Source organism: Homo sapiens, chromosome 2, assembly GCF_000001405.40.
Source record: "Homo sapiens chromosome 2, GRCh38.p14 Primary Assembly".
Lineage (NCBI taxonomy): Eukaryota > Metazoa > Chordata > Mammalia > Primates > Hominidae > Homo > Homo sapiens.
This window is the reverse complement of record NC_000002.12, coordinates 15,358,906-15,372,120: the sequence shown is the minus strand read 5'-3', so window position 1 is coordinate 15,372,120 and position 13,215 is coordinate 15,358,906. Positions and strand designations below refer to the sequence as shown.

The 13,215-nt window shown below is 39.3% G+C and overlaps 1 protein-coding gene across 11 annotated transcripts in view; it reads left to right on the top strand.

The window, feature by feature from the left end:
• NBAS (NBAS subunit of NRZ tethering complex) overlaps positions 1-13,215 on the top strand; it is a 782,426-nt gene that overhangs the window by 189,214 nt on the left and 579,997 nt on the right. For all 11 annotated transcript variants that reach the window (XR_007076390.1, NR_052013.3, XM_017004317.2 and 8 more), the window contains one exon: positions 5,428-5,541. Coding sequence is in view for 9 of the 11 variants with exons in the window: in XM_017004317.2 (XP_016859806.1) it covers positions 5,428-5,541 (114 nt within the window). In the remaining 2 variants the exon portion in view is untranslated. The remainder of the gene's footprint in view (positions 1-5,427; positions 5,542-13,215) is intronic.

Below are 13,215 nucleotides of genomic sequence, written 5' to 3'. Positions count from 1 at the left end.
CACTCAGCCTGGAGCTACTTCTGCCACTTATTACTGGGTAACTGGGGGCAAGTTTTAACCTTTCTTTAAGTTTCCTCATTTACCAAATGGGGGTACTAATAAGAATCTTACAGAATTGCTTATAAGGAATGTCTGTTCATTTATAGTGCCTAAGATATAGTAAGGACTGTACAATATCAATGATTATTTTTATACTTAAAGGTATTTTTTAAATAATCATAGAATTAGTGTAGTCTTACCTGTCTTCTCATTCTCCCCACATCCTTTCTCTTCATTCATTTTCTTTTCTTCCTCAGATTCTTCCCCTCCCTCCTCAGCCTCTGTTCATTGCCCTCTTTCCATCCCCCCTTTGCTTTCATTTAATAAACATAAATTTAGGCACTTACCCTACTCTGGGAACTGAAATAATGATGGGGACAAGGCACATTCTATGACTTTACAGGGCTACCACACTGATAAGGAGACAGGATTACCCCAGAGTGTCATGTGTGAGTTTACATTCTGATGTAGCCACTTTGAGCTGTGTAACCTGTGGCAACAGTATCTTTGAGCTTCACATTTCTCAGATTGGGATAATAATAAAATATTCCTGACACAGTCCTGTAAGTTATATCTGGAGAAACCTTGTATTAGAAGATTCTATTCTTTATAAGTGTTTCTGTGAATATGGCGGTAGGTAATAATATAGCTAATATTTATTGAGTGATTTTTATGTTCCAAATATGCTTTATATGTATTCACTAATTCTCAAAATGCCCTTTGGGCATTGTATTAGCCTGTTTTCACACTGCTATAAAGAAATACCCAAGACTGGGTAATTTATAAAGGTAAGAGGTTTAATTGACTCACAGTTCCACATGACTGGGGAGGCCTTAGGAAACTTACAGTCATGGCAGAAGGCAAAGGGGAAGCAAGGATCTTCTTCATCTGTTGGCGGGAAAGAGAAGAGTATATTTGAGAACGAGGAAGTGCCGCGCTTTTAAACCATCAGTCCTAGTGAGAACTCACCATCATGAGAACAGCATGGGGGAAACTGCCCCCATGATCCAGTCACCTTCCACCAGGTCATTCCCTCAACACCTGGGGATTGCAATTGAAGATGAAATTTGAGTGGGGACACAGAGCCTAACCATATCATTTCACCCCGGCCCCTTCTAGATCTCATGTCCTCACATTTCAAAACCAATCGTGCCTTCCCTGCAGTCCCCCAAAGTCTTAACTCATTTCAGCATTAACTCAAAAGTTCAAGTCCAAAATCTCATCTGTGACAGGACAAGTCCCTTCCACCTAGGAGCCTGTAAAATCAAAAGTTAGTTACTTCCAAGATACAATAGGGGTACAGGCATTGGATAAATGCCTCCATTCCAAATGGGAGAAATTGGCCAAAGCAAAGGGGCCACAGGCCCCTGCAAGTCTGAAACCCAGCAGGGCAGTCATTAAATCTTAAAGCTCCAAAATAATCTCCTTTGACTCCATGTCTCACATCCAGGGCACACTGATGCAAAGGGTGGGCTCTCATGGCCTTAGGCAGCATGGTGGCTCACTCCTCTAATCCCAGGACTTTGGGAGGCTGAGGTGGGTGGTTTGCTTGAGCTCAGGAGTTTGAGACCAGCCTTGGCAACATGGCAAAACCCGTCTCTATTTTTTAAAAAATTAAAAAATTAGCCAGGCTTGGTGGTGCATGCCTGTAGTCCCAGCTACTTGGAGTGCTGAGGCAGGAGGATCACTTGTCCTAGGAGGTTGAGTCTGCAGTGAGTTGAGATTGTGCCACCGCACCCGAGCCTGGGCAATAGAGCGAGACCCTGTCTCAAATTAAAACCATACCCTATGAGGTGGTGGTATTGTTTCCAATGTTCAGATGATGAAATCAAGGCCCAGGGAGGTTAAGTAACTTGCCTAGGTTGCCTAGGGTCATCCAGCTAGTTAGAGGTGGAGCCAGGATTCAAACCTAGGTAGTCTGGCTCAAGAACCTGCATTTGTAACAGTGGAGAATACTCTACTGAGGAAAAGATGTGAGAGCAAAAGATTCTTCAAGAAGGAAACTCTTACTTGTCCTCCTACTGGTCAGCTAAGTGTTTGACTCCTGCGTGTTACACCTTCCTTGCCCACACGGTTCAGATTTGTATAATACTTCCACAGCATCACTAGCAACTTCATATGTTGTGGGCCTCTGTTGCCATTCCCAAGTGACTGCAATTGATATTGCACAGCTATCTTTTGAGGGGCATTTGGAATATAGGTGGCTGGTTAGAAAATGCTTTTTACATCTGAGACGTGCATGCACGTGTATGTGTGTGTGTGTGTATACGTGTGTTTTATAATAGGTTTTTGAAAAATCATTTGAGATATATTCATGATTTCTGCAGGAAAATTAGATTATCTTTAATTATTAAAAGGTACGTACATGCCTATCTTTTTCATGTTCATTCATTCAATTTGGAAAGGAATTTTAGGAGTTGAACACTTCTTCCTTCTTGGAAAGATAGGGCTTGAATTTATTTAACTGAGAATTCACATTTTGAAATATAATTAAGCAGGCCCTAAATCAGCAGAAAAAGGGAACTGGTATAGTGATTGTCCAGAGGATCAGAAAATACGTAAGTAAATAAAGTAAAAAGTCATTTGAACAGGGTAATTGCAGTCTATTAGACTTCTGCTCTCCAAATTTATTTAATGTACTTCAAATATTAGTAGTGTGCATCGCTTAGGGCAACAGGAGACAAATAATCAAACTTGAGTGTTCCATTAAATGGAAGTTTAGAGAAAATCATGATCCATTGCTATGTGTGGTTTCAGTTCTCTACCTTGAGTTTATTGAGGTGGAAAAAGAGTGGTAAAAGTAAGGAAGTCAGTTTAGTAGAATTACTAAAGCTAGAGCTTCTCTAAGAAGAATACAATAATTCATCAACAAAGCCATAAAAGCAGCTATGAAAACTCCAGATTTTTACATATGTGGAATGCAGATAATATCTGCAACAAATTTTGTTTTGAAAATAAAATTAGAAATGTGTTAAAAGTACCTATCTCACAATTATCATATGTTACTGAATCTGGAAAAAGCCCCATAAAATAGTAGCGGATATTGAGGAAAAAACCCATAGTGTTTTTATTGTGATAAGGTATGGAAAGGCTTGAAGTATACTGTATCGGTGAGTTTTTACGATTGTGCTGTTGTGAAAAACTCAGAATCTCCATAATATGTGATAACAGGCTTATTCCTTGCTCACAATCGTGTCCACTTTGGTTAGCCGCAGCACCACCCCTTGAGACACGGTCTTGTCACAGTAGAAGGGAAAGATCTGTAGTGGAATTCCACGATGACTCTTAACAGCTTTCACTCAGAAGTGGCATATGTCATTTCCACTCACATTAATTGCCTGTAGATGTCACAGGGCCAAGCCTCATGTTACTGAAGCAGGAATTTGGGATATGAATAGTTGCAGTGGATAATTGGGAAGAGTAATACAGTCTACAGAAGCTATACTCAGATGTAGGTATTAGCAATGGTGATTTTGAAGGAAGTAACTGAAGAGTAAGTATATTTACTTTATATTTTATAGTAAAGGCCACACACAACAGGATTATTGTTGTAGATGTATAAATATTCATTTTAAGAGAGTCTAGGCCAGGTGCATTGGCTCACGCCTGTAATCCTAGCAGTTTGGGAGGTCGAGGAGGGCGGATCACAAGGTCAGGAGTTCTAGACTAGCCTGGCCAATGTGGTGAAACCCCGTCGCTACTAAGAATACAAAAGTTAGCCAGGCGTGGTGGCACGTGCCTGTAGTCCCAGCTACTCGGGAGGCTGAGGCAGAAGAATCGCTTGAACCTGGGAGGTGGAGGTTGCAGTAAGCCGAGATTACGCCACTGCACTCCAGCCTGGGCAACAGAGGGAGATTCTATCTCAAAAAAAAAAAAAAAAAAAAAAAAAAGTCAAAACATTAGGAAACACACACTGAAGTATTTAGCAATAAAGAGAAATGTTATTTGCAACTTATTCTCAAATGGTTCAGAAAAAAATAAATGTGTATGTATATTTGTGTGTATATATGTGTAACTATTTGTGTATATATGCACTTGTATATATGTGTATTATAAATATGTGTATGTATTTGTACATGTATAAGTATTTGTGTGTGTATATACATATTCCTGTGTGAATATACAGAGGAAGGAAGCAGGGACTGTATGCATGCATGATTGCACATGGACATGTGTGAAGGCGCAAATTATTAATCATCTGTTAACCTCAGCAAAGAGTATAGAGGATTTCTTTGTACTTTCCTTGCAACCTTTTTTGAGTTCAACATTAAATTGTAGTAAATCCTTACCTTCCCCAAAAAAGCCCATTCCAGAGGAAAAATACCACCTCTCTTCTTTATCTCCCCCGTCCCTGGCCCCTCTCACCTATGTAGAAGTTTTGAGAGAACACAAGATATATGGAGAACAGCCATGGGTTTAGGAAAGGATAAAGGATTCAAGGTGTGAAAACATTTAGCGAGCTGGGTTGAATTTTGGTCCCATCACTTTTTCAGTGACCTTTGCCAAAGTATTTAACCTTTCTGCACCTCAGTTTCTTCTCTTGAGGATAATAGTACCTGCCTTCTATTAATAAGAGTTTGCTGTGTAGGGTTAATATACATAAAGCACCTCCAACAGTGCCTGAGACATAGCTCGTATTCCTTTCACATCAGTTGCTATTATCGTAGTTGTTGTTATTATAATTATTGGGGGCCAGCCTCCCTGGCAGTGCTGTGTTTCTTAAAGGTTGCCATCTCTGCTGTAAATAAGTACCATTTGTTCCTAGAATATACGTAGTACCCTTTGTCTAGGGTTTTTTTAATGTGATTTTCATTTCTTTATAGTTTGAATTGGTTTGATCAGATGTGTTTTATTTTCCTAATATCCAGTTTATGTGAGAAAATTGGGCTTATGTTTGGAGGAAGGTTAATAAATTGCAACAGTGAGCACTTTGAAGACTCCTGCCTTCCAAACTGGGGTAATGAGTGGAGATAGCAAATGTATATTTAGAGCAAGGAATGGGGCTTAGAGGGTGAGGTTTGAGGGGGCTGGTATAATACTAAGTATATGAAGTTTTTAGAGACAAATACTGTCTCGTTTAAATTTTTCCCTAAGTCCTGACATGGTACATAAAACAGTGAAACAGTTTTTTCTAGTTTCAGATTAACACTTCATTTCCTGTGCTTCAGAAGTTTGGTTATGAAGAAAAGATCAAGGTTGTACATTATTTACTCAGAAGCAATAATAATTTTGCTGTTTGTTAAACGTGCCTTTTACTTTTACTTAATTCTCCTTCATCTGATGCCTTACCCAGTTTTCATTTTCTTTGGATGCCTTGCATTAGGAAGGCCATTAACACCCTTTTGTGATGTCCCTGGTCCAAGTCTTTAATACGTCTTTCTTTTGTAGTGCGATTGTGCCCTGATCGGATCAGTCTCATCAAGGAGTGTATTTCCCAGTCCCCCACATGCTATAAACAATCCACCAAGCTTCTGGGCCTTGCTGAGCTGCTGAGGGTTGCAGGTAAGTCTTTTGAGTACTAAACTGCAGAATAAGCTTTCTATGTTATTCTTGACATCATTGCAGGACAATAGCAGAATATGTGCTTACAGCGTCAGAAGAACAGCTTTTTTATTAGACAGGGTCTCGCTCTGTTGCTCAGGCTGGAGTGCAGTGAAATCTTCCTGCCTCAGCCTCTCAGTTAGCTAAGAAGAACATCTTTGGGCAAGGATTAGTATTTTCTAGAAAAATTGACGTGTTATAAAAATGTGCCAATATTGAGCTTCTGGAACTATCTATTACTTAAACGAAGACAAGCTTATTCAGGGTGCCTCAAAATGGTTGTGTAGTCAGGAGCAGAAGTCAGTGTTACCATTTATAACCAGAAAAGTTACATATAAAACAAACCAACCTTACCAGTTCACCTTCAGTGTCTAAATTTGGTTTTGTGTTTGAACCTGAACAATTTGTTAGAAAACTTTATGCATTTACTATTTGGTGGGGTTTTCATGTATTTTATCTCATTTAATCATCTCATAAATGATGTTGATTTTGGTATTCTTCTCATTTTGCAAGGGAAGTTGGAGATGAGAGAAGTTAAATATTTTGCCCAGCAGGGTTAAATAGCAGGCTTTGGCTTTTAAGGAAAGTCTTTTTGACTCTACATTTCATATTTCCTTAACTACATCCTTCTGCTCACCAGTCTTTTTAATACTTTTTTTTTTGTAGTTTTGTCTTATGCTGATCTCTGCAAGAAGAGTTGTTGGTCATTTGGTTGTATAAGCAGTGGTTGGAAATTGTATTCATCTAAGCCATATATATATGTAACATATTTAATGGACTAAATATTTTAAAATTGTATTATGTAGGAGTCTTAAGGTCTCTAGTTTTAGTAATCGTGTGTGTCATTTATCCTTTTCTAGTCTGTGTGAAGGTATAGCATCAGCATCTTTATATTTGGACTTGCAGCAGACTGCCAATGTGATGGCAGTGTGACTGGGGCCAGTCATCCGTTGTGAGACATCTGGAATGAATGGGGAGAACAGTTCATGTGGAGTCAGAACACTGGTTCAAGTTCTAACTCTGTGCCACACATTTGCTAAATTACTTTAGTTCCATTTTCTGCATCTGGAAAATAGGAATGATACCCCCTTTCTTCACCTGTGAAGTTAGGAGAGGCCCAAATGAGTTAATGCATGTGAAAGTGCTCTGTAAACTCTGATGCACTCTGATCATCAGGGAATATTCCATAAGGATCCAGGCCACAGAAGCTAACAAAGCAGCTCAGAGGTGCCATCTGCATTTTTATGTTCCTACTAGGATTTGTTTCCTCTTTTGTCTTTGTGATGTGTTAACATAGTAACAGGAATACCTGTGGTCTTGGTAATCTATATGAGTTTTTAATGGGAAGAGAGAAAGTAATATTTTTCTGCTACGTACTGTGGATACAAAGTTCTGTTACACATAGCTGCTGCCCTCTGAGAATTTAGACTCTTAGAAAGCTAGGGAAACAAGTAATTATGCTGCCAACATAGGATGTGATCATAGTGCATGGCTTCTGTAAACAAATAATAGAAGACTCGAAGAAAGGCCGTGCTAATTTTTGCCTGGGGAATTAAGAAAGGTATCATAGGTGGCCTTTACCTTATAGAGTGTTTTGGTTATCTGTTACTGCTTTACGAACCATCCAAAACCTGGTGGCTTAAAAAACAACCATTTATTTTTCTCTCTCCAGAAAAAGAGAAAAGAGATTTTCCCAATCTCTTCTGGAGATTGGGCTCAGCTAAGCAGGTCATCATCTTTTATGAAATTTCATCAGATCGTGGCTAGGGTTGGACTCTGTCAAAGGCTGCATTACTCACATGTCTGGGTACTTGGGCTGGGAAGACTTAAATAGCTGGGGGCTGATATAGGGCTTTACAGGTGTCTCTGCTCTCTGTGATTTCTCCTTGTACTTTTTCCATTTGATGGTCTCAGAGTACCCAGACTTCCTTCTTGTTGGCTGAAGTCTCCTGGAGTCAGTGCTCCAGGAGAAACCAGCAAAATCTTCAAGGCATTTTCTTTTTTTTCTTGAGACAGAGTTTCGCTCTTGTTGCCCAGGCTGGAGTGCAATGGCGCCATCTTGGCTCACTACAACCTGTGCCTCCCAGATTCAAGCGAGTCTCCTGCCTTAGCCTCCCGAGTAGCTGGGATTACAGGCATGCGCCACCACACCCAGCTAATTTTGTATTTTTAGTAGAAACGGGGTTTCCCCATGCTGGTCAGGCTGGTCTGGAACTCCTAACTTCAGGTGATCCACCTGCCTCGGCCTCCCAAAGTGCTGGGATTACAGGCGTGACCACTGTGCCCGGCTGCTTCAAGGCATTTTCAAATCTAGCTTTGATATTTGGGCAGCTTCATTTCCAGTGTATTTTATTCTTGGACTCAGTTAGACAGACCTTGCCAACTTCAAGGGGAATATTTACAGACCTCACCCGAAGGCTCTAATGGGGCTGAAGGTTCTGCTTCTAAGAGGGCTCATTCACATGGCTCTTGGCAGGGGGCCTCAGTCCTTTATGGCTATTGGTAAGAGGCCTCAGTTTCCTGCTACATGGAACTCTCCATTGGGCTGCTTGAGTGTGTTCTCTCAGCACGGCAGCTGGTTTCTCCTAGAGCGATCTGATTCACAAGAAAGCAAAGAGGAAGCTGTAATGCCTTTTATGATATGGTCTTGGAAGTCACACACCATCACTTCCACTTTATGTGTAGAAGTAAATCACTAAGATCAGCCCTTTGGTTATATTTTTTCATTTAATCCACCTGCTCAGATTGGAATTGTCTTGAATTAAAAACAGTTAAATAACTTTGAACTTTAAGATAACTGTTTGGCACATCTTTATAAAAAGTTTCCATTAACAACAATAATAATACTCATTTTATGCTTTAATACTTATCTCAGTTCCTTCTTTGTCCTTTATAGGCAGAAATAGGAATCTCATTTTGAAAATGAGGAGACAGGAATAGAGAAAAGTTAAATAATTACTGAGGATTTTATAGTTAAGAGGTTTTAAGTTAAATCCTTTACTCATATTCTGTTTCCACCTTTTTTGACACTATATAATAATAATCAGTGGACTTTATTGTCCTTCATTTCATTCACAAGACCTTTGCATCTGGCTATTTTCACAGACATTCAGCAGATTTTACCACATCTCAAATCAAAAATTAATTGATCTGATAACATAAGAGAAAGGAATGCATCCAAATGAGGTTATGAAAGAGACTGAGTAGTTTAGATACCTGGTCTGTTAGTCATGACTCAACCAGAGGAGCAGAAACTGTAGGAGAGGTACATGTTAAAGACTTCATTACCAGGAATGGGCTTTTACTACTATGGGGATTGGCTAAGCAAGTCTGAAATCCATAGGCAGTCAGTCAGGAAGAGAAGATCAGGAGCAGGAGGGAACTCTGTGGATATGGCCTGAAGCTGTCATTCACAGGTGGGAATCTCTCCCCAACCACCAGCTCTTTCTTTTTTTTCTGACTGTTTTTTGGGTTTTTGTTTACAGAGACGGGGTCTCACTATGTTGCCCATGCTGGTTTTGAACTCCTGGGCTCAAGCAATTCACCTGTCGCAGCCTCCCAAAGTGTTGGGATTGCAGGTGTGAACCACTGCGCCTGGCCCCATCTCTTTCTTTCTTTCTGGAAAACCTCAACCTCTTTAAAGCCTTCCCTGAAGTTCAGTCAGACCCACCAGGATTATCTAGGATAAACTTCTTTACGTAAAGTCAACAGAGTACCGTATTTAATTATATCTGCAAAATAACCTTCACAATACCACCCAGATTAGAGCTTGTAGCCTAGCTAGGTTGACATAAAAAAATTATAATCTGGACCTTTCATTTTTAATTTAATGTATTCTGAAGAAATGCAAACATTTCAATGTTATGTAGGAAATAGGTTTTATATTGTGTTATAGGTGCATTTATTATAGAGAAACATTACATATTCCGTTTCCAATATATGTTACTGTTACTAAATCATGAGTGTGTTATTCTAATAATAGGTTTATGAATCTCAGTGCAACATCATCCCTTTTTAAGAATTTATTTATTTAGAGACAGACTCTTGCTCTGTTGCCCAGGCTGAAGTGCAGTGGGATGATCATATCTCACTGTAATCTTGAACTCCTGGGCTCAGGGGATCCTCCTGCCTCAGCCTCCTGACTAGCTGGGACTACAGGCATGTACCACCATGCCCAGCTAATTAGAAACATTTTTCTTTTCTTTTCTTTCTTTTTTTTTTTTTTGGTAGAGATGAGGTCTCGCTCTGTTTTCCAGGTTGGTATTGAACTCCTTCCCACAAACGATCCTCCTACCTCAGCCTCCCAAAGTGCTAAGATTACAGGCGTGAGCCACCGTGCCTGGCCCTAGAATCTTCTCAGAATAGATTGGGCCAATACTTGCCTTGGATTTTATTTAAACTTATGAAGTACATAAAGAAGATCGATAGGGACATATTTTAAAAGTTTTATTCAACCCTTCCTGTAACATGTTTGCTTTTTCCTCCAAACCATATTATAGCTTAGAAAATCAAGGGCCCTAAACATATTTTCTATTTTTTCCTGGAATTTTTTTTTTTTTTGAGATGGAGTTTCACTCCTGTTTCTCGGGCTAGAGTACAATGGCACGATCTCAGCTTACTGCAACCTCCGCCTCCTGGGTTCAAGTGATTCTCCTGCCTCAGCTTCCCAAGTAGCTGGGATTACAGGCATGTGCCACCACACCTGGCTAATTTTTTGTATTTTTAGTAGAGATGGGGTTTCTCCATGTTGGTCAGGCTGGTCTTGAACTCCTGACCTCAGGTGATCCGCCTGCCTCAGCCTCCCAAAGTGCTGGGATTACAGGCGTGAGCCACCGTGCCCAGCCATTTCCTGGAAATATTAAAAATAATTTTAAGGCTCTTTAAAATATGAAATATATTAGATTTTTGTCCTTTTTAGCCTACATATCCAAATTACATTGTATTTGTTTTGTAGCTGAATTATTTGTCTCATAATTGAAAATAACATTCCGAATTTAATCTGTGCCATTTTTTTGTTTTTGTTTTTTTGAGCCAGAGTCTCACTGTGTCACCCAGGCTGGAGTGCGGTGGTGCGATCTCAGCTCACTGCCACCTCTGCCTCCCGGGTTCAAATTATTCTCATGCCTCAGCCTCCCGAGTAGCTGGGATTACAGGCATCCTCCACCATGCCTAGCTAATTTTTGTATTTTTAGTAGAGATGGGATTTCACCATGTTGGCCAGGCTGGTCTTGAATTCCTCACCTCAAGTGATCCACCCACCTCGGCCTCCCAAAATGCTAGGATTACAGGTGTGAGCCACTGTGCCTGGCCTCTGTGCCTGTTTAATTGAGAATTTACAGTCGTACTGCACAGCAATGGTACATGAAATTTTGGTCAACAACGATCTCATATGCAATGGTGGTTCCATAAAATTAAAATAGAGCTGAAAATTCCTATCGCCTAGTGACATCAGCCGTTATAACACGTTATTCACTTTTTTATGGTGATGGAGATGTAAACCTCCTATACAGCCAGTTGTGTAAGTTTGCCACATATAGTTATGTTGGTACATAATTCTTGGTAAAGTTACTAAATGACTATGTTACTGGCTTAAGTGTTTACTATACTATGTTATTTTCAAAGATGCGCCTCCTGTTTATAAAAGAAAAAAGTTAACTTTAAAATAGCCTCAGGCAGGTCCTTCAGGAGGGATTCCAGAAGGCATTGATATCATAGGAGATGATAGCTCCATGTGTTATGGCCCGAAGGCCTTCCAGTGGGACAATAGGTGGAGGTGGAAGAAAGTGATATTGATGTCCTGACCCAGTGTTTGGGCTAGACTAATATGTGTGTTTGTGTCTTAGTATTTAACAAGAAAAGTTTTAGAAAGTTAAAAAAAAAAAAAAAAAAAAGGCTGGTCATGGCGGCTCAGACTTCTAATCCCAACACTTTGGAAGGTTGAGGCAAGTGAATCACTTGAGGCCAGGAGTTCCACACCATCCTGAGAAACATAGTGAAATCCTGTCTCTACAAAAAATAAAAATAAAAATTTCCTGGGTGTGGTGATGCATGCTTGTAGGCCTAACTACTTAGGGTGCTGAGACAGGAGGCTGCCTTGAACCAAGGAGTTCACGAGGTTACAGTGAGTTATGTAAATATTGATCATGCCATTACACTCCAGCCTAGGCGACACAGTGAGATTCTGTTTTGTTTTGTTTTTTTTTTTTTTTTAAGTTATGGTAACCTATAGTTAACTTATTACTGAAGAAAGAAAAATATTTTTTTACTAAATTTCATGTAGCCTCAGTGTAGAGTGTTTATAATGTCTGCAGTAGTGTACAGTCATATCCTCGGCCTTCACATTCACTCACCACCCAACAAACTGACTCACCCAGAGCAACTTCCAGCCCTGTAAACTCCATCCATGGTAAATGTCCTATACAGAGTTACCATTTTTTATCTTTTGTACAATATTTTTACTGTACCTTTTCTATGTTTAGATACACATAATTCTTACCATTGCATTCCAGTTGCCCATAGTATTCAGTACAGAAATATACTGTACAGGTTTGTAGCCTAGGAGCTATACCATATATATAGCCTAGGTATGTAGTAGGCTATACCATCTAGGTTTGTGTGAGTGCACTCTGTGATATTTGCTCAAGACGGAAATGCCTAATGACACATGTCATAGAATGTATTCCTCTTGTTAAGCAACTCATGACTGTATTTTTTTGAGCCTTTCTATTATGTGCATAACTTGATGCTGGGTATTGAGCATCCAACTATGAACCAACCCCTGTCCGTCAAAAGCTTACATTTTAATAGATAATAAAGATTATTAAAAAGATAATCACAATTTTTTTTGTCCGGATAGCCTACCATTCAAATAAATTGTTTTAAAGAGAGTGAAAAGTAAAGGAATATGTTGAAAGGGCAACGAAAACCTATATTTTATGTAAAGAAATAAAATATTTTATGTAAAATATTTTAAGAAATATTTTCTAAAACTTTTGGGAAAATAATTTTAGATCTTTTAACATGAGCTGAATTTTTCTTGTATATTTTTAGACTCTAGAAACTTACTCTGATAAATAAAAGATTAGTACTGTCAGTGAAACTATAAACTTATTTTGTGTTTAAGGTTTTCCCCCTTTATATTTGTCATTTAAGAACACTCAAAGGGGAAAATACTTTTAAAAGACCTGGCAAAAATGTTTAAAGTCCCTGTTGGGACAAAAACTTTTTCTTCATCTACTTTGTTTCAAATGGTTGGTCAGGTGCCTGTGAATTAATTGACAATAGACAGGAGAAAAACAAGATTTTTTTTACAGATGCATGCAGAAGTCACTTAGTGATTAATAACTCTTGAATAGCAAGAAGTAAGGTTTATATACCAACTTAACAAAAAGGGGGATGGGGTGGGAGGGGCTAGGGCTTCAGTGGGAAAGTATAGAAGGTTCTGTTGGGCTTTTTGATGCGAACTGACAGTCTCTGTTCCAACTGAGTTCTCAGGAAACTCCTGTGGAGGAGGTTTAATTGCAGTTTTATTTTAGGAGGACAGTGCTTTATTCAGATAAGATAAATTCAGTTAGGATTTCTTTCTGCATCTTCTGTAGCTCAAATGTTTTCACTTTGAAATAACCCGCATGCCAG